Source organism: Homo sapiens, chromosome 5, assembly GCF_000001405.40.
Source record: "Homo sapiens chromosome 5, GRCh38.p14 Primary Assembly".
Taxonomy (NCBI): Eukaryota; Metazoa; Chordata; class Mammalia; order Primates; family Hominidae; genus Homo; species Homo sapiens.
The window spans coordinates 150,370,705-150,394,823 of NC_000005.10; the positions used below are offsets into that span (position 1 = coordinate 150,370,705).

General features: G+C 53.3%; 1 protein-coding gene across 50 annotated transcripts in view, besides 2 other annotated features; it reads left to right on the forward strand.

Moving 5' to 3' along the window:
* TCOF1 (treacle ribosome biogenesis factor 1) overlaps positions 1–24,119 on the forward strand; it is a 42,597-nt gene that overhangs the window by 13,008 nt on the left and 5,470 nt on the right. The window contains exons 7-24 of one of the 50 annotated variants that reach the window (XM_005268502.5): positions 1,302–1,532; positions 3,470–3,682; positions 3,913–4,107; positions 4,250–4,459; positions 4,635–4,850; positions 5,017–5,205; positions 5,378–5,626; positions 5,719–5,916; positions 8,201–8,338; positions 8,525–8,704; positions 8,828–9,028; positions 12,358–12,468; positions 17,198–17,384; positions 19,183–19,319; positions 20,840–20,953; positions 21,253–21,472; positions 22,001–22,086; positions 22,668–22,848. In XM_005268502.5, the coding sequence (XP_005268559.1) occupies positions 1,302–1,532; positions 3,470–3,682; positions 3,913–4,107; positions 4,250–4,459; positions 4,635–4,850; positions 5,017–5,205; positions 5,378–5,626; positions 5,719–5,916; positions 8,201–8,338; positions 8,525–8,704; positions 8,828–9,028; positions 12,358–12,468; positions 17,198–17,384; positions 19,183–19,319; positions 20,840–20,953; positions 21,253–21,472; positions 22,001–22,086; positions 22,668–22,848 (3,256 nt within the window). Of the gene's footprint in view, positions 1–1,301; positions 1,533–3,469; positions 3,683–3,912; positions 4,108–4,249; positions 4,460–4,634; positions 4,851–5,016; positions 5,206–5,377; positions 5,627–5,718; positions 5,917–8,200; positions 8,339–8,524; positions 8,705–8,827; positions 9,029–12,357; positions 12,469–13,033; positions 13,935–17,197; positions 17,385–19,182; positions 19,320–20,839; positions 20,954–21,252; positions 21,473–22,000; positions 22,087–22,667; positions 22,849–24,119 lie in introns of those variants that run through there. The other 49 variants (XM_005268504.5, XM_005268503.5, XM_047417645.1 and 46 more) reach the window with 49 other exon arrangements.
* Positions 4,961–5,483: an enhancer, noted in NCBI's record as "H3K4me1 hESC enhancer chr5:149755228-149755750 (GRCh37/hg19 assembly coordinates)". NCBI's record gives its function as "activates a minimal SCP1, AML or CMV promoter by ChIP-STARR-seq in primed H9 embryonic stem cells {active_cell/tissue: H9 hESC(primed)}" and the evidence as "EXISTENCE:reporter gene assay evidence [ECO:0000049][PMID:30033119]".
* Positions 6,007–6,529: an enhancer, noted in NCBI's record as "H3K27ac-H3K4me1 hESC enhancer chr5:149756274-149756796 (GRCh37/hg19 assembly coordinates)". NCBI's record gives its function as "activates a minimal SCP1, AML or CMV promoter by ChIP-STARR-seq in naive H9 embryonic stem cells {active_cell/tissue: H9 hESC(naive)}" and the evidence as "EXISTENCE:reporter gene assay evidence [ECO:0000049][PMID:30033119]".

Below are 24,119 nucleotides of genomic sequence, written 5' to 3' on the forward strand. Positions count from 1 at the left end.
ACCTGTAAGTGCAGCACTCTGGGAGGCCAAGGCAGGAGGATCATTTGAGGCCAGAAGTTTGAACCCAGCCTGAGCAACATAGTGAAACCCTGTCTCTACAAGATGTTATTTTTTAAAAAAACAAATAAATTATGGGGAAAGTGACACAAGATGAAGTCCTAGGTAGACAGGGGCCAGATCTTCTGTCTGACCTTGAGGACCACCATAAGGAATTTGGGTTTTATTCTAGGGGCTGTGAGAAGCCATGCCAGCAAGGAGAGATGGCCTGATTTGCATTTAATAAGATTGCTGGCTGCAGCCTGGGTTGGAGGGCAGTGCAGAATAAAAGCAGTAAGACCATGTAGGAGACTATTGGAGTAATACTGATACTGGCATAAGAGGCTGGGGGCTGGGAGACCAAGGTGTCCACAGTTGGAAAGATGTTTTCAAGGGAAAACCAGCACAAGTCAGGGATGAACTGATCTGGTGCCCAGGGAACTTCTCACTTTACTGTGCTGCCTGGCCCAGTAACCCTGTGAAGGTTGAAAGCTCACCCCCATCTACCCCAGGCCTTACCAAGGGCTGCCCTCCACCTTCCGTCCTCACCCTTGCGCCCTAGATACCACCAGCTGTAAGGACATCCCTGGCTTCTGTCACCCCAGGCCTTGCCAAAGGGAAGAAGACCACTCCCAGCCCTCCATAAACACACAACCTCAATGGGCTGAGGCTGTGCAGAGCTCCAGTAGCAGACGCCCCAGAAACCCAGGGCCGCAAGGGGTCTGATGGATCTCAGAGGTAGAAGTAGGGCACTGACTGCCTGGGAAATGTCTGAATTGTGGAAGTGTAGGAAAGAGCTCACAGAGGGAAGGAATTTGCCCAAGGTGTGGCAAGCCAGTGGCAGAGGTGGTGTTCACATCCTGAACTCCTGGCCCTCAGGAGGGCTGCTGTGATCAGATACTTGAGTTTAAGGGGCAGACAGGATGCGCTCTCCTGATTGAGATGCAAGCCCTTCTCTCAGGCCAAGCCCGGTGTGTGCCAGGTGGGAGATGAACGTAATGGTTTTGAGATCTGTTCCAAAGTCAGACAGTCCAGGGTTCCAGTGGGGCTCTGTCCCTTCATATTGATCATGAGTGATTTTACCTCTTTAAGCCTTGTGTACTTTTCTGGAAAATGGATCTAAAGCTAATAGCCGTCTCAGGGAGTTGCTTAAAAATCCAGTGACATTAGGAAAGAGCTTTATCAACTGCTGAAGCCCCTAATACAGAACCTTAGGGGGAAACAGTAATTATTATTCATTTTCTAATTCCATCCTCTTGTTCCAGGGGAAACCCTCAGTAAAACCAGCCCAGGTCAAAGCCTCATCAGTTTCTACTAAGGAGTCTCCAGCAAGAAAGGCGGCCCCAGCCCCTGGGAAGGTGGGGGATGTGACACCCCAGGTCAAAGGAGGGGCCCTGCCCCCAGCCAAGAGGGCCAAGAAGCCAGAAGAGGAGTCAGAGAGTAGTGAGGAGGGATCTGAAAGTGAGGAGGAGGCCCCTGCAGGGACACGAAGCCAGGTGAGGCCTGGAGGAGGGCTGCCCCTTGGAGGACCTGCGGGTCCCCCAGCAGCCTGAGCACTCTGCCATGAGCACCTCTGCCACTGGAGTTGGGGAGAGGGAGGACTATGGTGTGAAGTTGAAGAGCAAGAACAGCCTGCTTCCCACAGGGGAGTCTTGCACTCCACTTTGTCTGTGACCAACTTTACCTCAGTTTCTCTGCCTAGTAAATGGGCCGCTGTCCTCGTCCCAGCCAGTCCTGCTGTGAGGGACTTGAGAAGTTTTGATTGCCTAATCCTCTGACTTCTCAGGACAAACCAGACCCTGAGCAGGCAAACACTACGTTAGCTAAAGGGAATCCAGTTCCCTTCCCCATCTGCTGGGAGTGGGCAGGGCTGCAGCCCCAAGGCCCTGGGTGTATCCCAAGGGCAAGACAGGGGGGCTGGAAAGCAATGGAAGTCAGAGCAGGAAGGAGGAAGAGTGAGGGTCACCCACCCAGCCCCAGGCCTGGGGCAGGACAAGGCGGGGGCATGCAGTAGATAAGCAGATCCCCTGCGTTAGCTGCTGGTAAATGGTAAAGAGGAAGTGGGGGACATAGGAATGGCAACTTGAAGCAGAGTGCTCTGGGCTGGCCTTGGGAGAAGGCGTCTCAGTAAAGACCAGAAGGAGGAAGCACTCTTAGGAAGGTCATTCCAGGCAGGGGCTCAGCAAGTGTCAAGGCCCTGAGGTAGAAGTAGGACTACGAATTGTGACAAATTGTTGTTCCCACCCCATCTACAGGGAACTTCTACGCCTCGGCTGTCTATTTTGCAGTGTCTGGGGGCTACACAGTGTTGGATGGGCATCCACTTTGAGAAGGAACACAAATGTGAATTTTTTTTTTGAGACAGAGTCTTGCTCTGTTGCCCAAGCTGGAGTGCAGTAGCGGCAATCATAGCTCACTGCAGCCTCACTCCTGAGTAGCTAGGAATACAGGCACACACCACCACACCCAGCTTGTGTGTGTGTGTGTGTGTGTGTATAGACAGGGTTTCACTGTGTTTCACAAGCTGTGGACTCAAGCAGTCCTCCCACCTTGGCCTCCCAAAGTGCCGTGATTACAGATATGAGCCACCGCACCTGGCCATAAATGTGAACTTTTATGTAAAATCTGCTTTCTCCATGTTGGCTCAAAAATTTAAAAAGGAGCTAGCCAAGCAAGACCTGTGTGGAGCAGCCTGCACTTTCTGCATGAGAAGCTTCTTAGAAGATCAGAGCTGCTGTTTTCTAGGGTTGTTGGCCCAGGGCTGAACACCCAGGGCCTTCCAGGGAAGACAGGGCCTGCAGCCACCCTGCCAAAGCCCCAAGACAGTGCAGAGCCCCACCGAGGAGTTAGTGAAGAGGGGGCCAGGTGTGCAAACCTTGCCCCATGAGGCTGAGGGTGGGCTTCCAGGGGTCCTGCTGCTGTCCATGTGCAGAAAGTCCAGTGAGGGCCTCCCTCAGTCCCTTCCCCACTTTCAGACTGCCTCTTCATTCCTTCCCTTCCCTGGGCCTTTGCACACCCCCTCCCCACAGCCCAGTCTGATGATGCTCCCGATAAGCCAGTGCCTGTGCCTCCAGAGCTCTCTGGCCAGTGGGAGCCCAGCAGAGGACAGGCTCTAACTACCCAGTGTGCTGGGGCACCAGGGGGAACCATGTTAAGGAAGTGGTGTCTCTTAGGGAGCCAGAGACAGAGGAGGCAGTGGCTAAGTGAAATGGAACAGGGGGCATGGAGGCTCCAGGAGTGAGAGTGTGTGAAGCTGATCGATTTTTGAGAAACCAGGAGGCCAGTGTGGCCAAAGTATCAGTCAAGGTGGGGAGTGGGGAGGGAAGCAGGGGAGGTCTTAGGAGCCTCATTAAGGCCTCTGGACTTTATCCTAAAGGCATCACCAGAGAGTTTTCACAAGCAGGAGAGCAAGCTGCCCTTTCTTTTTCACCAGGTAAAGGCCTCTGAAAAAATTCTCCAGGTCAGAGCTGCCTCAGCCCCTGCCAAGGGGACCCCTGGGAAAGGGGCTACCCCAGCACCCCCTGGGAAGGCAGGGGCTGTAGCCTCCCAGACCAAGGCAGGGAAGCCAGAGGAGGACTCAGAGAGCAGCAGCGAGGAGTCATCTGACAGTGAGGAGGAGACGCCAGCTGCCAAGGCCCTGCTTCAGGTGAGGCCTGAGGAGGGAGACTCCATGCAGCCAGGCCCGTCCCCAGAAGGCCTTCTCAGGACTTGTTCTCCCACTCTGGGCCAGAGCCCCGGGCGTGCCTCAGACCCCAGCCCCTTACTCCCCTCTCACTGTGTGGCATCATTTGCCCTATCTGGTCTTCTGTACGTGGTGTCCTGTGTCTCCTCACACGTCCATCCTCTGGGCTGTCTCCCCTTGTCTTGTTTCTCCAGGCGAAGGCCTCAGGAAAAACCTCTCAGGTCGGAGCTGCCTCAGCCCCTGCCAAGGAGTCCCCCAGGAAAGGAGCTGCCCCAGCGCCCCCTGGGAAGACAGGGCCTGCAGTTGCCAAGGCCCAGGCGGGGAAGCGGGAGGAGGACTCGCAGAGCAGCAGCGAGGAATCGGACAGTGAGGAGGAGGCGCCTGCTCAGGTGAGGCAGAGGGGAGGGGTGGAGAGTAGCCCCATGCCTAAACCCCAGCACCTGCATGGGTGTGGCCACCTTTGCCACATCCAGCTCCTGTCTCCACACGTCCACCCTCTGGGCTCTCCCCTCATCCTGTTTCTCACTCCAGGCGAAGCCTTCAGGGAAGGCCCCCCAGGTCAGAGCCGCCTCGGCCCCTGCCAAGGAGTCCCCCAGGAAAGGGGCTGCCCCAGCACCTCCTAGGAAAACAGGGCCTGCAGCCGCCCAGGTCCAGGTGGGGAAGCAGGAGGAGGACTCAAGAAGCAGCAGCGAGGAGTCAGACAGTGACAGAGAGGCACTGGCAGCCATGAATGCAGCTCAGGTGAGGCTGGAAGCCGCCCTGCATGGCCTGTGCCCTGCCTCAAAAGACCTCCTGTGGTTTTGACTTTTCCTCTCTGAACCTAGAGCCCTGTGCGGCTGGCTTCGTTTGCTCTCCTCCCCTCACTCACATTCTCCTTCTGGACTCCCTCCCTAATCTTGTCCTTTGTGTCTCCCAGGTGAAGCCCTTGGGGAAAAGCCCCCAGGTGAAACCTGCCTCTACCATGGGCATGGGGCCCTTGGGGAAAGGCGCCGGCCCAGTGCCACCCGGGAAGGTGGGGCCTGCAACCCCCTCAGCCCAGGTGGGGAAGTGGGAGGAGGACTCAGAGAGCAGTAGTGAGGAGTCATCAGACAGCAGTGATGGAGAGGTGCCCACAGCTGTGGCCCCGGCTCAGGTGAGGCCCCTTCCTGTAAGGCTCTTTCTTTTTCCCCCCCACTCAGAGTGGAGCTGCCTGTGGCCTCCCAACCTCACACTGGGACTCTGTCTACAATCTTAGTTTCTTAATGTCTGCACACACCTACCCTGGGCTCCCTCTCCCGATCCTGTGTATCTCACTCCAGGAAAAGTCCTTGGGGAACATCCTCCAGGCCAAACCCACCTCCAGTCCTGCCAAGGGGCCCCCTCAGAAGGCAGGGCCTGTAGCCGTCCAGGTCAAGGCTGAAAAGCCCATGGACAACTCGGAGAGCAGCGAGGAGTCATCGGACAGTGCGGACAGTGAGGAGGCACCAGCAGCCATGACTGCAGCTCAGGTGAGGCCTGGGGAAGGAGGCTGCTACATGGCCTGATCTGCCACACCACAGTCAGCACCCCCGGGGAGCTGTGCTCCCTCAGGCAGAGCATGGGTTTTGGCTGGTGGGGCAGAACAGATGGGGGACTCTGAGTTCAGGAACCTTCTCCAGCCTTTCTTTGGTGTCCCCTCAGGCAAAACCAGCTCTGAAAATTCCTCAGACCAAGGCCTGCCCAAAGAAAACCAATACCACTGCATCTGCCAAGGTCGCCCCTGTGCGAGTGGGCACCCAAGCCCCCCGGAAAGCAGGAACTGCGACTTCTCCAGCAGGCTCATCCCCAGCTGTGGCTGGGGGCACCCAGAGACCAGCAGAGGATTCTTCAAGCAGTGAGGAATCAGATAGTGAGGAAGAGAAGACAGGTCTTGCAGTAACCGTGGGACAGGTGAGGCCTGTGTTTTCTGGGCGGGCCTCAGGGCCGCCCCTACGTGGTCCTTTGGACTCCTGGAGACACCTCTCTTCCCCTTGTCATCCCAGGCAAAGTCTGTGGGGAAAGGCCTCCAGGTGAAAGCAGCCTCAGTGCCTGTCAAGGGGTCCTTGGGGCAAGGGACTGCTCCAGTACTCCCTGGGAAGACGGGGCCTACAGTCACCCAGGTGAAAGCTGAAAAGCAGGAAGACTCTGAGAGCAGTGAGGAGGAATCAGACAGTGAGGAAGCAGCTGCATCTCCAGCACAGGTGAGGCCTAGAAGGAGCAGGCCCATCCCACCCACACCTGTTCCTGAGCCAGGGCTGAGGATGGGCTTGACTGGGGGCTAGTGTTGCCTGCAGGTGTGCAGAAGCCTCAGAGGTAGCCTCAACACAGCTTCCTTCCCTATCTTTCACTCCATGTCTCCTCTGCCCATCAGAGCTCCAGGGTCTCTGTCTTGTTTGCCTTTTGAGGTCCTCCTGCTGATTGATTCCCTGTGGTTTTCACAAGCTCTGGAGTTCCCACCCTGCCAGGTGCTGCCCTTGTCTGGGGTTGCTGAGGCGCTGTTCCTCAGGGAAGTCCTGTCTCTGTGGAGCATGGACATGCTCCTGCAGTGTGGAGCGATGGGGTTGAGATAGAGGGTGTGAGCCTGGGCTGCGCAGCATGACAGGTGAGAGCATCTAGGCCTTTTACAGGAGGTGGCAGCATCTGAGCCATGGGCTGAAAGAGTTGGCCAGGTGAAATGGGCAGGGAGAGTGTTCCAGGCAGAGGAAGCAGTCTGTGCGAGGCCAGGGAATGAGAGAGTGCCTGGCTTGGGTGCCTTGCCACAGGCGGCACATTGTGGTGGGATGGCTGGCAGTTGTTTAGAGCCAGACCGCCTGGGTTCAAGTTTCAGCTCCACAGCCTGGCAAGTGCTGTAAGCCCTCAGAGCCCTTACTCTCCTATAAACAGGAAATCAGCCCTCACAGGTTTGGGTGAGAATTTAGGTGAGATCTCACCTGCTACACCCAGCAAGGGAGCTGCACACAGCAAGTTGTCTCTGTCACCCTGACGATGGGCCAGGCTAATGTGGAACAGATCAGGAGTGAGGTCTCCAAGCCTGGAAGAGCTGAGAGAAGATGGCTCACTCCCTGCACTCACCCACCCACTGTTTATTATTTTTAATTGTCGCTCTGTTTTTTTCTGTAACCACTCAGAAATTAGTCATTTCTTTTTTCTCTGTACCAGAGCACACATTTCTACTGATTTTTTTTTGTCCTCCTCTCGTTGACTTGTGGGACCTCAGGGCTCTAGAATTCCTCCATTGAGGTTTTTAAGCTCTGCAGGGGCCCCTTCCAGAGCCGCCTCTACTCTTTCCCAAGCTGCAGGCACATTCCAGACCCAATGCCTTACAGAGTTTCATTATGCAGCTCACTTAAATATTTGTCTTCCCTTCTGAGCCTCCCACCTGTACCATGAGGTGGGTGTTTTATTTTTATTTTTTGAACCATGGGCTATTTTGAAGTAAGCCGTTTAATTTCCAAATATCTGGGATTACCCAGGTTTCTTTTTGTTGATTTCTAATTTAGTCACATTGTGGTTGGAGAACATATTTTGTATGATTTAAATCCTTTTTTGTGTATTGAGACTTGTTAGGTCAAGTCAGTCTTGTGTCTTGTTTCTTGTGGAAAACATGGCTCCCCTCTGGAGGATTTACGTGCTCTACTGATGAGCACCTCGGCCTGAGTCATACTTGGTCCACACTGTAGGGAATCTTCTTGAAGTCCTGATTCTTCACCTCATTTGACCTCATGTGTTTGAGGAATGCTGGGGGATGGGGTTGTTTTCTGACACTGACCAGATGCCATCCCTGAGTGAGGCAGGGGCCTTGAGATGCTGCCAGAGTCCTCATTCTGTTTCACATTAGGCTTGCTGTCACTCCTGTTAAGGATCTCACTCTGGGAATTTCCCTTTTTTTTTGTTCTCCTTCTATTTGTTGGAATCCCTGACAGGCCTTTTGGGGGTTCTCTGGATATCGGTTAAGGCTAGATTAAGCTGAAGAAAACCTTAAACAACAAGTATCTTGTTCTGCCGTGGCTGCTTGAGCTCCAGCTCTGACCTCAGCATTCCATCTAGCCTGGAGGAGGAAGAGACATGTTTCTGACCTTTTATGGCACTCAACTTACATCCTATGAGCCAGAATTTAATGACATTGCCACCTAGCTGAAAGGGAGCCTGGAAAACATCTGTTTTAGGTAGTCTTGTGCTTAGCTAATGCTAAGGAAGGCACGCACAATGAGTTTGAGTGTTTATTATGTTCCAGACATCATGTTAAACTCTGAATCTCCTATTTAGTCTTCATCATAACCCGTAGGTGGGCCTTATTATTATCTCCATTTGATAGAGGACTGAACTGAGGCCCAGTGAGATCAAGTGATGAGCTCAGGTTCACACGCCTATTGCATGGAGGAGCCAGAATCCAGACTCGGGCTCCAGCTCCAGAGTCTGTATTCTTGGCTAGCTGCTTTACTCAATCTCACCTTCTCCCTCCTTAATTCCCTTTTCTCCACTCAGGTGAAAACCTCAGTAAAGAAAACCCAGGCCAAAGCCAACCCAGCTGCCGCCAGAGCACCTTCAGCAAAAGGGACAATTTCAGCCCCTGGAAAAGTTGTCACTGCAGCTGCTCAAGCCAAGCAGAGGTCTCCATCCAAGGCAAGTGGGGCCAGAAGCCACAGGAGGTGTGGAGGGTTGGGGTAGAGAGGAGGACCAGTCACTGAGCCCAGCCAGGAGAAGGTGCGTGCATGGGCAGGCCACCCACCCAGAGTTGTGCCATAGTGGGGAGTGGGACCTGAAAGGAATCACTTTTGCCTCCAATACTATTATCCCCCTGCAATTCAGGTGAAGCCACCAGTGAGAAACCCCCAGAACAGTACCGTCTTGGCGAGGGGCCCAGCATCTGTGCCATCTGTGGGGAAGGCCGTGGCTACAGCAGCTCAGGCCCAGACAGGGCCAGAGGAGGACTCAGGGAGCAGTGAGGAGGAGTCAGACAGTGAGGAGGAGGCGGAGACGCTGGCTCAGGTGAGGGGGAGGGAATGGAGATCATCCCCTACATGGGATGTAACACCTTTGCCACATCCAGCTCCTGTCTTCTCACACGTCCACCCTCCAGGCTCTCTCCTCTCATCCTGTTTCTCCCTCCAGGTGAAGCCTTCAGGGAAGACCCACCAGATCAGAGCTGCCTTGGCTCCTGCCAAGGAGTCCCCCAGGAAAGGGGCTGCCCCAACACCTCCTGGGAAGACAGGGCCTTCGGCTGCCCAGGCAGGGAAGCAGGATGACTCAGGGAGCAGCAGCGAGGAATCAGACAGTGATGGGGAGGCACCGGCAGCTGTGACCTCTGCCCAGGTAAGACTTGCCAGGCCTCTGAGCCACCAACACTCACTCCTCAGAACGGGGGTATAGGGCTGGGCGTGGTGGCTCACACCTGTAATCCTAGCACTTTGGGAGGCCGAGGCAGATGTATCACTTGAGGTCAGGGGTTCAAGACCAGCCTGGCCAACATGGTGAAACCCCGTCTCTACTAAAAATATAAAAATTAGCTGGGCATGGTGGCGGGTGCCTGTAATCCCAGCTACTCGGGAGGCTGAGGCAGGAGAATCCCTAGAACCTGGGAGGCGGAGGCTGCAGCAAGCCAAGATCATGCCACTGCACTCCAGCCTGGGTGATGAGAGTGAGACTGTCTCAAAAAAAAAAAAAAAGAAAAAAAAGAAAAGTGAAAAACCAGGGTTTAGGGCCAGGTAAGGAAAAGAAAGGAAGGCCAGGTTAAGGCTTAAGGCTCCAGTTCCACCATGCCCTCCTCCGTCTGCTGTCATCCACATCTCCTTAGGTAAAACCTGCTACTAAAACCCCCCAAACGAAGACTTCCGTAGCTAAAAGTGTCCTGGGTCTATATCTAGGTCGAGGTCTCCACCAGCTCTATAAGCTAGGCCAGTATTTCCCACCAAGGCATATGAGACCAAGAATCTACATGTTAGTTATTGTGCATACGTTAACGTTATACAAAATGACTCTCCCTGTCAGAGTCCCAGGGAAGCTTGGAGTGTGGCACAGGTCCCCCTGAGGTCCTGGAGAGATGGAGGAAGTCTCATCCTGCACCTTGGCCCGGAGCCTCACATAGGCAGGCGCATCTTCTCAGGCAGGGCTTGTCTAGCTTAGTGCAAAGCCTGGACCCTGGAGAGTGGGGAGAAAGAAAATCTGAACAATTCCCTCTGTCTGCTTGCAGAAGATAGCAGGGCTTGCTACATCCTACAGAAGTGTAGGATGACAAACTCCAGCACTGCCAAGGCACAGGTGTGTGATGGAAATGACTGATGCAGGCCTGGCAGGAATGATAGATGTCGGCCGGGTGCGGTGGCTCAAGCCTGTAATCCCAGCACTTTGGGAGGCCAAGGCGGGCGGATCATGAGGTCAGGAGTTCGAGACCAGCCTGGCCAACATGGTGAAACCCTGTCTCTACTAAAAAAATACAAAAATTAGCCAGGCGTGATGGCAGGCGTCTGTAGTCCCAGCTACTCGGGAGGCTGAGGCAGGAGAATCGCTTGAACCCGGGAAGCAGAGGTTGCAGTGAGCCAAGATCATGCCATTGCTTTGCACTCCAGTCTGGGCAACAGAGTGAGACTCTGTCACAAAAATAAAAAAAAGAGATGATAAATGTCAGGAGAGATGGTAGATAGTGGTAGCAAGTAGGGCAGACCGGAGAGCCCTTGCCCCATCCAGAGGGGCAGTTCTTATCAGCTTCAGCCAGTCATGACTGTGGAGATGGACCTTCTGTGTGGCCAGGTCTTCCATTTCTTAAGGGAAGCTGGAAGTCCCTGTGCCAGGCCAAGCTCCATAACCTCTTAGATTTGTTTTCTTCATGAGTAAAACAAGCACTGAGATGAATGCTCCCTAGCCCTAACCTCTGCCTTTGATACACCAAACCAACAATTACTGGGGGTGAAAGACATTGGCCCCACCCTCAAGGAGCTCACAGTCTGTGGGGCAAGACAGGTGACCGGATTATCGCAGACTATGCTAGTGGTGCTGACAGCTGAAAGAGCAGGTCTCTGAGAGGCCAGAAAAGGAGGAGATGATTGAGCTGAACCTGAAGGATGACCAGGCACAAAAGTGGAGAAGGCCCCTCAGTGTGTGCAGAGGGGCTGGGCATGAAGGCACATGGTCACTGAAGGCAGCTGTCCTGCAGGCCGTAGGCCCTCCCAGGTGCTTGTTACTGGTAGATTTATGGAGGACCTAAATGCCAGACTAAGACATAGGCCCCGGCCATATTTTGGGCTGTGTAGTTTTTTTGTTTTTAAGTTTTCAATGAGTTCTTAGTCAGAATGGCCTAATCTGTAGGAGAAAGCCCCATTCAAAAGAGCTTAAATAAGGGGATTGACTGTCTTAAAGTGCACAAAGTCCCAGGTTCCAGCTGCTGAAAAGCTGGTTCCTTTAGCTGAGCGTCAGTGGTAACCAGATTTCTTCATCTCTGCACTCCACTAGCTTTATGGTCATAGCAGGGCTGCAGCATCTCCTAAAGTGCTGGGGGCAGGCCAGGCACGGTGGCTCACACCTGTAATCCCAGCACTTTGGGAGGCTGAGACAGGCGGATCACTTGAGGTCAGGAGTTCAAGACCAGCCTGGCCAACATGGCGAAACCCCATCTCTACTAAAAATACAAAAACTAGCTGGGCCTGGTGGCACCAGCCTATAATCCCAGTTGAGGCAAGAGAATCACTTGAACCTGTGGAGGAGGAGGTTGCAGCCTGGGCAACAGAGTGAGCAGAGCAAGACTCCATCTCAAAAAAAAAAGAGATTAGGGGGTAGACTTAAGGCTACTCAGACCTCAGGCTGGACGTTCTACCGCCTTAGCCATAGACAAGAGGCCGGTAGTTCCCATGACTGGCTGGGAGGAGGGCCCACCCTCCCTGAAGCATGTGGTAGGGGCCACTGAACAGAGTGAGGGTTCTATTAGCAAGGAACAGATGGGGGCATGGCTGTTAGGAGGCAGCCTGCAGTGTGCATTGTAGTTGCCCCATTTAAAAATTGGAAATGACATGTACAAATCTTCCAGCTTCTCTTGATAAATTGGAAGCTCAGGCAGCCTGGGTCCTACTTTTTTGGCTAGGCTGAGTAGGGAAAAGGGGGGCCCCCATTCCAATAGGGACCACTGAGCTGCCATCACCACCAGCATTTCCACCCAGATCTCTGAGTCCTCCTCTGACTGCAGTGCTTGCTCATCCTTCCAGCCCCCATCATCACACCTGCCCCAACAGGAGGGGATGGTAGCCAGTGGAACACTTCTAGGTGGCTCCTGCTTTTGGCTGGGGGTGTTACAACCGGAGGTGAGCTGTGCTGGGACCACTGGCTTGTGCCTGCAACCTTGTCCCAGGCTGCTGTCACCTCTTGTCGAGACATTGGGCCAACAGCCCTGCAGCCCTCAGGTTTTAGCTGCATCGGAGTCATAAATCCCTTTCATGTTCGGAGTCAGCTCTGGAAGGAGCTAGCAGGGTGGAAGCATGTTTCCAGTGGCTGTGGGGCAGGTCAGGCCAGCAGGTATCCCTGTGCATGTGCAGGAAGGGGCCACGCTGCCTCCCCTGGAAACCAGAGTGCCTGAGGGTCATTGCCTACTGGCTGTTTCCCCCTCAGCAAATGCCCCACTCCCCGACCACGTGCTTATCCAGGTCTTGTCCCCTCAGAAGGACAGTAACTCCAAACCTGCCAGAAGCAAGACCCTGGCCCCAGCACCCCCAGAGAGGAACACGGAGGGGTCCTCGGAGAGCAGTGAGGAAGAGCTGCCACTGACCCAGGTGCGCCATGCCTTCTCTCTGCAGATGCTGCAGGATCAGAGCTGGGCTGGCAGGCCTTGCAGGAGAGGGCAGATCTTGCCCATAGGGAAAATCTCGCCATATTTAAACAGCACCTCACAGCTTCCAGAGCTCTTTCCTCTATTGTGACATTCATCTGAGCCCTGTGAGGCAGGCAGCAGTACACAGTTAAACATACAGGCTTCAGAGCCAGGTGGTGTTGGGGCGAAGCCCAGCTCTTCCACCCAACAGCCCCATGGTCCTGGGCAGATGCCTTTTCCCCTGTGTGAGGCTCAATGTTTCAGCCATAAAATGGGGACAGTACTGGCACCTCTCTCCTGCCTCTGTGCACTGGTGCCAGCACACAAGGTACTTGCCACAGTCCCCTGCCTAAGAAAGGGTGCCTGTTAACTGTGAGAAGGGCAGGGAGTGTTGCCCCATTTGACAGATTGGGAATCAAGCCTTAGAGTTGAAGCAGTTTCCCCAAATTCTCATGATTCATAAGAGGCTGAGGAAAGGTCCAAACGCTGGTCCCCTGGCTCCCTGTATCTCTCTGTTTTCTGTTTAGGACCAGGAGTCTTCTTGAATCCCATGAGCTCTGCCCAGGACCCTCTCTCAAGCACCTGTGGCATACCTTCATGTGCTCCACTGCACCCAGAGCTTAAGCCACAGTCCTGCTCAGGCTACACCTCCAAGGGTGGGACCAGGCCCACCTTATCTTCCTGTACTCCAGAGGCCCAAGTCAGCCATGCTGGTGTGGTCCAAGCTTCTGTGTGAACCCTGGCCCTTCCATCAGACAGCATTACCCTTTGTCCTCCTCTAGCCCCAAGCTCCCAGAAGCTTCTGCCAGGCACCTCAGAGCACCAGCTCCCCTGTCCCAGGGCCTAACCACAGATCCTGGAGTTCTGCAACCTCCAGACCAGAGCGGTCTCATGAACCACCTCCCCTTGAATATCACATACCACATTGTTATCAATTCATCAGTAAGGTCAGATGCTGTTTGCACACCTCCAGCAATAGGGTGCTCACTGCCTCTCACTTTCCAATGGCACAGATTACAAAAGTAAAGAACAACCACCACCAACATCGGTAACTCCCTGTATTCTCATTTTTCTGTTTAATCTCCACAACAGCCCTATGAGGGTGGCTCCCTTTGTTGTTTGCATTTTAAGGAACTGGGAGTGAGGCTCAGAGAAGTTGAGGGACCTGTCCCAGCATCACATGGCTGATGACAAGTGGACAGACCTGGTGTTTGAGCACAGGCCATTCACATTCTGACCCGTTGCCTGGTGCTGCCCCGACACTCTCCTCTCCTGGGCTTGGGCATTGCCCTCTGGCTCTGTGTGGAGCCTTTACGAGGCCACCTGCCTCTCTGAGGGATCTAAACAACTGGGAGGGAGGGGACCGCTCCCCCTTTCTCTGTGGGGGTGGACTAACACAATTAAAATGAACATCCTGCTTAAACTGAACCATTTAATTGGTATGTTAGTCCTGAAGATTCTGGAGTCTATTTAAAAAGCAGAAAAGAAGTCAGCGGTTTGTACATTCCCCCAGGAGGATTCGGGGAAGACGGGCATAGCCCGGGGAAGCTGCAGCCTCTTCCTGATTGAGAGATTTTTAGTTCCTAATCCCCAGCTCACTAATTATGATTATTTTCATTATTGTACATTTATTGAGCACCTCTCTATTGACAAGTTTCAGTCTGATTTTATTAGCCCATCAGTGGGGAAAGGGATTGAGGCCAGGGTGGTGGGCAGAGTCCCAGGCTGGGAGGCAGGGATAGATACCTTGGCTCCATTCCTAGACCCCTCACTGTGCCTCCGCCCTGTTGTGCAGAGTAGACCTCAGGCCAGAGTCTGTGCTGGGGTCAGGACAGCTTCCAGATTTAAAAACAAGTAGGTGATACATATGTTAAATAACTTAATTTAGCTATTCCACAATGTATATGTGTATCAAAACATCATGTTATATACCACAAATATATGCAGTTTCACTTGTCGGTAATATTTTTTAAGGCCAACTTCTTCTATTAGTTTGTCAAAGACGTAGGCCCTGCTCTCAAAGTTTTAGGTTGAATCAAAGAAAAAGGAAACCTGTAAGAAACTAAATTCTGGTGTTACATTGAGGCCTAGCATAATTGGTTCTAGAAGGAGCTCCAGTCTGGTGCCTGGAGAACTAACTTCTAATCCTGGCTCTGGCACCAGTTTGCTGGTTGCCCTGGGTGAGGCCACTTGCCTTCTCTGAGCCTCATTCATCTCAATCTCTGGGATGAGACTTCCTGGGTTGGTGGGGTGGACCTTGAGGCTCCAGGCCACATCCCCAGAGAGTAGAATTTCTCAGTCCCCTGGAGTGGGGCTGGCCTAGATCTGTTAAGCAGCCTCAGGCAATTCTGAGAGAGGTTCTTGGAGTGTTTGTTGCCTTTGTGGTCATGTCCCTTGCCAGGGTCCGCAGCCTAGGCCATCAGCCCCCTCTCCCCACTCTGTGACTTGCTGGAATGAAGGCACAGTTAGAATGAGCTCAGCTTTGACAGGATGGGGTGAGCACTGTCCAGAAAGCCCCTAGGTTTGGTTCTGCAGGCATCAGACCTACAGGTAGGAGGGGTATCCCAGGGTTCCCTCTGGGTCCTTACTGCCCAGCACCTATAGGGAGGTACAACCAAATGTTCAGGCCAGTGCTGGTTTTGCTGCTTCACTCCCATCAGTTTTTTTTCTAACTGACCCCAGAACTACATTCCTGTGTATACTGTGCTTTCCAGTTTCCACAGTGCATTGGAACCCCTCCAGTGAATGAGCCCAGGCTGGGATAACTACTAGCCGTTTCATTAAACGGGAAACTGAGGATCAGAAAGTTGAGGGGCTTGACCACACAGTGAAGTCATGAGAGAGGCGTAATGAGAAGCAGGTCTTCTCCTATACCCTGGGCAAGCTTCACTGCCCACCTTTATGAACTCTACAGGCTAATGCCCCGCCCCAACCCCCCACAGCCAAGCCCCCTGCACCACCTCCCTCCTACGGCCCAGAGGCCCAGTGGGGTGGCGTGGGCAGGTGGAACTAACAGGAGGCTTTTGCTGCTGAGCTGCTTTTAACATCCCAAGACGCTATTGTTTGCCTCAGTGGGTTCGTTGCTTCTCTTCGTCCCCGACAATCTGTTCCTGTCTTCACATATATATAGATCCCCCCTCCCTCAACTGTAAGCCTTCTCCCACTTTCCATCCTTCTCTTTTTTATATCGTGGGAAGGAAGGCTCTGGAAGTGGCAGATCGGAGCAGCCGCGGGGGAGGCTATTTGGCAGGGGTAGGAAAGGCCTAAGCCCAGAGAAGCTTCCACCCTCAGGCAGGCACCTTTCTGTTTTACTTTTTACTTTATGCCTCTCCACAGCACCTTAGCACCCTGAGGAGCCAGGTGTGCTAAGTCAGGCTCAGGGGGTAAACAGGATGGTGAAACAGAGACCAGTCTGGACCTGATTCCACTCCTCTCTTAGCCTCAGGCAGCTCCCTCTTCCTGCCCTCCAGCTCTTCACTGGCCAGAGAGGGAGCAGAGCTCAAACCAGATCTGACATTTGGGGAATGGAAAGTAGACCTGACCAGCTCCCTGGCTCACAACCATGTGTGTTCTCGTTAGCTGGAGGTTCAGGAAGGAAATGGGCCTGGAGATGCCCTCGTGTGCGGTGAACATGTTCAGGGATGGTGCAGTTCAAAACCAGACTGGCCTGCAGAATACCAGGGAGCTGCTGTTGCTTGTTTGCTTTTTCTTTTATTGTTTCCTTGGAAAATTTAAAGCATACCCAAAGATAGATAATGTAAAGAACCCCCACGTACCATCCCCAGCCTCAACAGTTAGGAACTCCTGAGCAGGCTCGTTTCACGCAAACCCTCCACTCAGTTCCCCAACGCCCCTGGATTACTTTGCAGCCAGTCTCAGACATGTCAGCTCATCCACCAGGATTTCAGTATGCAGCTCTCAGTTATAAGGACCTTTTTAAGCACAACTACGATACAGTGTCACACCTAATAAGTTGATCTACCCAGTCAGTGTCCCTATTTCCCTGATTGTCTCATGGAGTTCAGTTAAAGGCCACGTACGGCATTGAGTTATTAATCCTCTAAGTCTTAATCTGTTGGTTCTCACCCACTCACCCAACCCTTGTTTCTCTTGTGCATTTTTTTGTTGAAGAAACTGAATTGGTATAGCTGGGGAGTTTCATCCTGGGCCATGTATCAGGAGGGCTGCATCAGAACCTCTGGGGTTGGGGCAACTAGACTGTAAATACCTCCCCAGGTGAATTGCATATTCCAACCAGGCAGCCTTGGAAAACTGCTTAGACCACTCCCTGCATTCAGCAAGTAACTGTTTCTGAAGCCAGCCGGGGAAAGAAGGCAGAATTGGACATTCTGGCCGTGGCTTTGCTTCCAGTAGGGACAGCAGCCTTGGGTCGCTCCCTTTCCCTCTGGGCTTGTGGTTTTCCCACTTTGTATAAGGGAGCTGATCCTGCTGAATGTAGGGCTTCACTGTGAGGGTCAGGTGGGCTCTGGGAGTTGTGAAGTGCTGTGCTGGGTCTTAGCAGATGTGTGGGGTGGGAGGGGGCACCCTGGGCAGCTGGAATGGCTTCTGTGCCCAGCTGCCCCTGAGCTCAGTGGACCCTTTGCCTTGTAAAACACTCCCTAACCCCATCACCTCCTTTCCCTGGCCAAGCCTTTAATCACTGGGGGGGTGTTTTGTTTTTGTTTTTCAAGGTGATTAAACCCCCTCTGATTTTTGTCGACCCTAATCGTAGTCCAGCTGGCCCAGCTGCTACACCCGCACAAGCCCAGGCTGCAAGCACCCCGAGGAAGGCCCGAGCCTCGGAGAGCACAGCCAGGAGCTCCTCCTCCGAGAGCGAGGATGAGGACGTGATCCCCGCTACACAGTGCTTGACTCCTGGTGAGCGCAGCCCTTATGCAGTGGTGGGAGGGGCTGCCAGCACTGCCCCACATTGAGGCCCAGAAGGGACAGGACACTGGCTGAGTCACATAGCAAGGTGTTGGTCGGGAGGGGCTTGGGGTCAGGTCTCTGGGCCCTGCATTAGCCATTCTGATTAGGGCCTGGCTCAGACCTGCAGTTCTGGGGGAATAGTTGCCAGAGCTTTTTTGTGGCAGCCCCAGTCATGGAGCCCAGACCAGTGGCTAGAAGCTGCAGGGACCAGGTTCCTACATAGTCTAAGAAAGAATTCTGTATCAGTTGACTGCCTGTGGAACAAGTGGTCAGGGTGGTAGTGAGCTTCCCGTCCTTGGTGGCATGTAAAGTAGGTTAGGCAATCCCTAAGCCAGAGACATCACAGGGATAGATTTCATCTATCAGAGAGACAGGACCAATCTGAGGTTTCTTTGACTTCTGAGAATCTGTGATTCTACCAATGACAACAGGAAAAGGGTTAATGTTACTATTACAGTTATTGTAACAGTTTTACAAGCAATAATACCTGATCCTGATAGGACAATTTAAAAATGCAGACGGGTGCAGTGGCTCACGCCTATAATCCTAGCTCTTTGGGAGGCTGAGGCAGGCAGATCACCTGAGATCAGGAGTTCAAGACCAGCCTGGGTAACATGGCGAAACCCCGTCTCTACTAAAAATACAAAAAATTAGCCTGGCGGGCGCCTGTAATCCCAGGTACTTGAGAGGGTAAGCCACGAGAATCGCTTGAACCCAGGAGGCAGAAGTTGCAGTGATCTGAGATGTGCCACAGCACTCCAGCCTGGGCGACAGTGAGACTGTCTCAAAAAAACAGAAAGCAGGCAAAATAGAGATTACTGCTGGGCATGGTGGTTCGCACCTGTAATCCCAGCACTTTAGAAGGCCAAGGTAGGAAGATCGCTTGAGCCCAGGAGTTCAAGACCAGCCTGGGCAACATAGTGAGAGCCCTATCTCTACCTATCTACCTACCTACATACATATGTACATATACATATACTTATACATATATGTGTGTATGTGTGTGTATATTTTTTTAATAAAAATACAGATTAGCACATAAGAAACTATATCACCTGTAATTCTGCCCCAAATAATTACTGTTAACATTTGACAAATGCTAACTTTATAAAAACCTAAAATATACGTGTGTTTTTAAAGCAAGACCATACTGTATCTAATGTTCAGTAACCTTCACTGGATATTTTATGACATCGGGTTTTTTTCATCTTTACATATTTGCAGCACAATTCCTAATGGCTACAGAGAAATCCCTTGGGTGGACATGCTACAGTGTGTGTAGCCAGCACCATGTTGGAGGAAGCAGAGGGTTTTGTTTCAGGGTGGAGGGGTGAGGGAGTTGGCTGTTATAAACAGTGCTTTGAAGAACATGCATGTAACCAGGCCTCTGCAGATAACCACGGGGACTCTTAGGAGAGACGATTTTAACTGCAAGGAGAGTCGTTTGGTGCCGGTGCTCTGGCCCATTGCTCAGGAGTGGCAGCCCGACCAGTTGGGAGGGGAGGGGATGAGGAAGCCTGGGGTCACCCCCAGAGCAGCCATTTGAGCTCCCTGAGCCTTGTCAAATGACATAATGACATCTCCTGCCTGGGAGGCTTGGAGAGGGAAGTAAACAAGCTTCTACCTCTGTAAGCCCTGAGCACAGCTCTAGATCACCAGCACAGGCCGGTAAATTGGGTTATTGCCGCTGCTGAGGAGGCGATGGGGCTTTTGTGCCCTGATGTGCCCCCATCTCGCTCCATTTCAGGCATCAGAACCAATGTGGTGACCATGCCCACTGCCCACCCAAGAATAGCCCCCAAAGCCAGCATGGCTGGGGCCAGCAGCAGCAAGGAGTCCAGTCGGATATCAGATGGCAAGAAACAGGAGGGACCAGCCACTCAGGTACCTGGTGGGCAAGGGAGGGTAATGCAGGCCAGTGGGGTGGGGCCCTACTTCCATACTTACCCACATGTGCTGATGGGATGGCCTGCAATTGCTGTCACGCCCACACTCCAGAGGTCGTGGCCTCACAGCCAGAGGCTTTCTGGCCTCCTAGCTACAACCCCCCAAATCACCTTTGAGTTATGAGGAAGAGTAATCTGGGGACACAGCCTCCTGGCCAAGCAAGCCCTGCAGCACTCGAGTCCCTCATGAGATTTTCCAGCGTAGTGGGGCTTTTGATTTTTTTTCTTCCAGTTTTGAAATGCCATGAACAAAAGTTGCCCTTTTTTGGTGTTTGTAATAGTGACTTCAGCATTCTTCCAAGCCTTTACCATCTTCAGTGCATTTTTATTTGGTCCTTGCCTGAATCTAAAAGCTGGGCATTTTAGGGTTAATGGCTGGTGCATTGTTTAGATCATAAAACTTAGCACACATCCCCACCCCAAGGGCTGCGATGTGACCAGCATTCAGCAAGGCCGGAACCCGGGTCTTCTGAGACCCAGTTCATTGCTCTTTGGGCCATATCAGTCTGGTTTCCCATCCCACTGAGAGGATGAAGTCCATGACACACTCTGACCTCTCTTCCTGAGGGGTGGGCTAAGGGGGTGTTGGGGGGCGGTGGGGCTGGTGTGCCACCCACTCCCTGGGCTCATCACAAGCTCCAGGTCAAAAACTTCTGGGAACATGGGTGTCGGATGGGAAGTCAGGCTGTGGTCACTGCATCCATGAGCATCGGTTCCTGCCAGGCCCTAGGGATACTGCAGGAACCAAGACAGGGACAAGGAATTCCCAGGCCAGTCAGGGAGTGGTGAGGGGCAGCGATTAAACAAGGAAACCCACATATAAATAAAAAGTATTCACCAGCTGGTAGGAGAGGAAACAATAAAAACTAGAGAATAGTGGGGTGACCTGCTATATGAAGGCCTCCTGAGACAGCGATGCTTAAGCAGAAAAAGCAGCCAGTCACAGGATGAGCTGGGCCACCCTCCAGGCAGGGAAACTGCAGGTACCAGGTCTTCGGGGGAAGCGCTTGGGAATGAGGGAAACTGAGAGGTGGGGACAGCTGGATGAGGAGCTGGGGGAGAGGAGATGAGCCAGGCCGTGGCAAGAGCCACGCCACATTTGAAGGCTCTCAGCAAGGGGTCATGCCCAATTTCCATGCCCACCACTCTCCCTGACTGCTAGTGGTTATAAGAAGTAGAGATGGGGGTCCACCAGGTTGGAGATTATCCCCAGTGAAGGTGCAGATTGAGTAGTGGGGCCTAAGCTGCTTCCCTGCCCTGGGCTGGGAACTGTCCCTTGCTCCTTGAGAACAATGTGATTCGCTCATAACCTGAAGCCTGCCACCAGTTTTGCCCCTTTGACTGCCCCTCAGTCCCTGCTCCAGCCCTCACCCCAGCCAGACAGCATCTGACCAGGGTGTGGCACAGCTGGCATCCCAAGGACTTGTGAGTCTGAGGGCTACCTCTTGCCACCCACAGGTGTCAAAGAAGAACCCAGCTTCCCTCCCACTGACCCAGGCTGCCCTGAAGGTCCTCGCCCAGAAAGCCAGTGAGGCTCAGCCTCCTGTTGCCAGGACCCAGCCTTCAAGTGGGGTGAGCTTGGGGAGCCAGGGGAAGCAAGCCCACGGAGCGTAGAAGGTGCAGGCGTGGCCCTGCATCGCGGCACCAGCACTCATCTGCCCCATGACCTCTGCACTTGGTTTGCCTCCCTCGGCCTCAGTGGCCTAATCTGTAAGAAGGAATTACAGTACCTTTCGTAGTTGGAAGGATCAAATGAGGCTGCATGTGTGCCCCATCTAACACAGTTCCTGGCCCTACTGAAGTGTTCAGGAAGGACCAGGTCTTACTTGCCCTAATTTTTCCTTCCATTCCTTCTCCTTTCACCGAATTAGGTTGACAGTGCTGTGGGAACACTCCCTGCAACAAGTCCCCAGAGCACCTCCGTCCAGGCCAAAGGGACCAACAAGCTCAGAAAACCTAAGCTTCCTGAGGTCCAGCAGGCCACCAAAGCCCCTGAGAGCTCAGATGACAGTGAGGACAGCAGCGACAGTTCTTCAGGGAGTGAGGAAGATGGTGAAGGGCCCCAGGGGGCCAAGTCAGCCCACACGCTGGGTGAGGGTGCCAGGGGAAAGGCAAGGGTGGGCCAGGAAGAGGGTGTTGTGTGGCCTGGTGGAGCCATAGCTCTGGCCTCAGCTCCATATCTCAGACTCATTCTGCACCTGTGGCTGAGCCTGGGCCTCAGTTTCCCCACCTGTACAACTTCATGAGGAAGTCAATCCAAATGATTTCAGAGACCTGACTTTGCTGTTTGACCACTCTCAGCTTTTTGGTATCAGACTCCCTTCACTGGCTCCCAAAAACTCCAGGGCCATGTTTCTGGAACAGTGGAAAGCAGGGAAATAGAAATGGGGCCTCAGGAATTAGAAATAAGGCTTTGGCATTCAAATGTCGCACCTAGCATGCTGTGACTAGCGATAAGTGTGCAAGGAGTGTTGAAGCAGTAGGAAGACTTGTGGTGAGGCGGGGCAGGGGATGGGGGTGAGGGACCTGCAGAGAGACCAGGGCCTTCCTGAAGGGCTCTGCCCTTCCCGGCTGGCAGGGGCCACCTGGGGCTACCAACAGGATACTGTGCTTCTCCAGTAGGTCCCACCCCCTCCAGGACAGAGACCCTGGTGGAGGAGACCGCAGCAGAGTCCAGCGAGGATGATGTGGTGGCGCCATCCCAGGTAACTGCAAGGGAGAGGACTGGCAGCCCATAGGCCTTAGGGTGGAGCCCCAGGCCAGGCTCCTGTCTACCCGATCCCTCAGGTCAGGGGTCTGGGTCCCCTCTCTTCACAGAGGCCTTGGGCAAGGTCCTGTCTGCAAGGCACCACGTGTGGCCCAGCCAGCAGACCACAGCCAGGCTGCCTCCGTCCCCTCATAGAGCCCTGAGTAGCTGACCCTTGGGGTCTGTAGAAGGGATTGACCTTGATTCTGGGTGATGTCCGGACAAAAACATTCTTTAGCAGATTTATTTTAAGGTTACTATCTGTATGTGGCAAAAGCTAGTAATTTTCCATTTGTATTAATAAGAAATTTCCTTTTTAAATGTGCCTGTCTAGAAAGTGTATTAATTAAAATAGTTCAGGAGGCACACGCCAAGGGCTGAAGTGCTGCTCTGTGCCTTGTTGTCCACCCACTCTGCACTGATAGGGCAGGGTGATCCTAGAGGCCCCAGGCTGCTTTCCTCACAGCAGGCCATGACTCGGGCTGGGTTATGGCAGTGGGGTGGGGTGGTGGCAGCCTCTTTCACAATGGGCTTCTTCAGTCTCTCCTCTCAGGTTATATGACCCCTGGACTAACCCCAGCCAATTCCCAGGCCTCAAAAGCCACTCCCAAGCTAGACTCCAGCCCCTCAGTTTCCTCTACTCTGGCCGCCAAAGATGACCCAGATGGCAAGCAGGAGGCAAAGCCCCAACAGGCAGCAGGCATGTTGTCCCCTAAAACAGGTAAGTTAAGGTCTGCAGGAGGGACATAGCAGGACACAGAGGGACAGGGCAGTGGGCCCCTTCTTGCCCTCCTGTAGCAACAGTCCTCCCAACATGGTCCTGTCTGCCCCCAGAGCCTCTCCAAGTGAGACCTTGTGGCCTTGCATTGGACCTGAAGATGCTCATCAAAGTGCAGGTGGGGCCAGGTGCAGTGGCTCATGCCCATAATCCCAGCACTTTGGGAGGCCGAGGTGGGCAGATTGCTCAAGCCCAGGAGTTCAAGGCCAGCCTGGGCAACACAGAGAGACCCCATCTCTAAAATTTATTTTAATTAGCCGGTGTGATGGTGCACGCTTGTAGTCCCAATTACTTGAGAGGCCAAGGCAGAAGAATGACTTGAAGCCAGGAGGTTGAGGCTATAGTGAGCCATGATCATGCCACTACACTCCAGCCAGGGTGGTACAGTGAGACCCTGTCTCAAAAAAAAAGTACAGGTGGGCCCCACGCCCAGGTGTCTGGCTCCCATGGCCCTGGACAGCCTGGAAGTGGGGGTGTATCCAGCCCTGGGTGGTGCTGATGCACCTGGTAGGATAGCCCTTGCCTCAGAGGAAGCTGCGTCTTTTGGCTTGTGGAGCAAGTGTTGGCTCTCTCCAACCATCACCATCAACTTTTCTTCCCTGTAAATAGGCTCACGGTGTGGGCCTTGGGCCTCAGAGGATAGCTTAGACAATAGGCTGACAGTCACGTTTGGAGGACACTCAGCACATGCAGGAGACCCCAGGCAGTAGACTGGCCCCAGGCTGTTCTGACTCATTGTAAAGCCTTGGAAATCCCCTGGCCACTCTGGACCTCTGTGTCTTAACCATACAAAACAGCAGTTGATGTATCCAGTCTGTGTCAAGGCATGGCACATGTAGAAAATAGTCACATTGTATTTGGAGGGCAGACTGGATTATTCAATTCACCTAACCTGGGGCATCCACACTCCCTGACCCTACTGGAGCTAAGGGTCAAATATGTACCAGCTGGGCACACTTGGGACAGCTCCAGGGCTTCCCCAGCCTTGGTGTTCTGGGTGTTTGCAGATAAGCAGCAGAAAAGTGGGCCTGGCGCAGTGGCTCGTGCCTATAATCCCAGCACTTTGGGAGGCCAGGGCGAGTGGCTCACTTGAGGTCAGGAGTTCAAGACCAGCCTGGCCAACATGGTGAAACCTTGTCTCTACTAAAAATACAAAAAACTAGCCAGCATGATGGCAGGCGCCTGTACTCCCAGCAACTCAGGAGGCTGAGGCA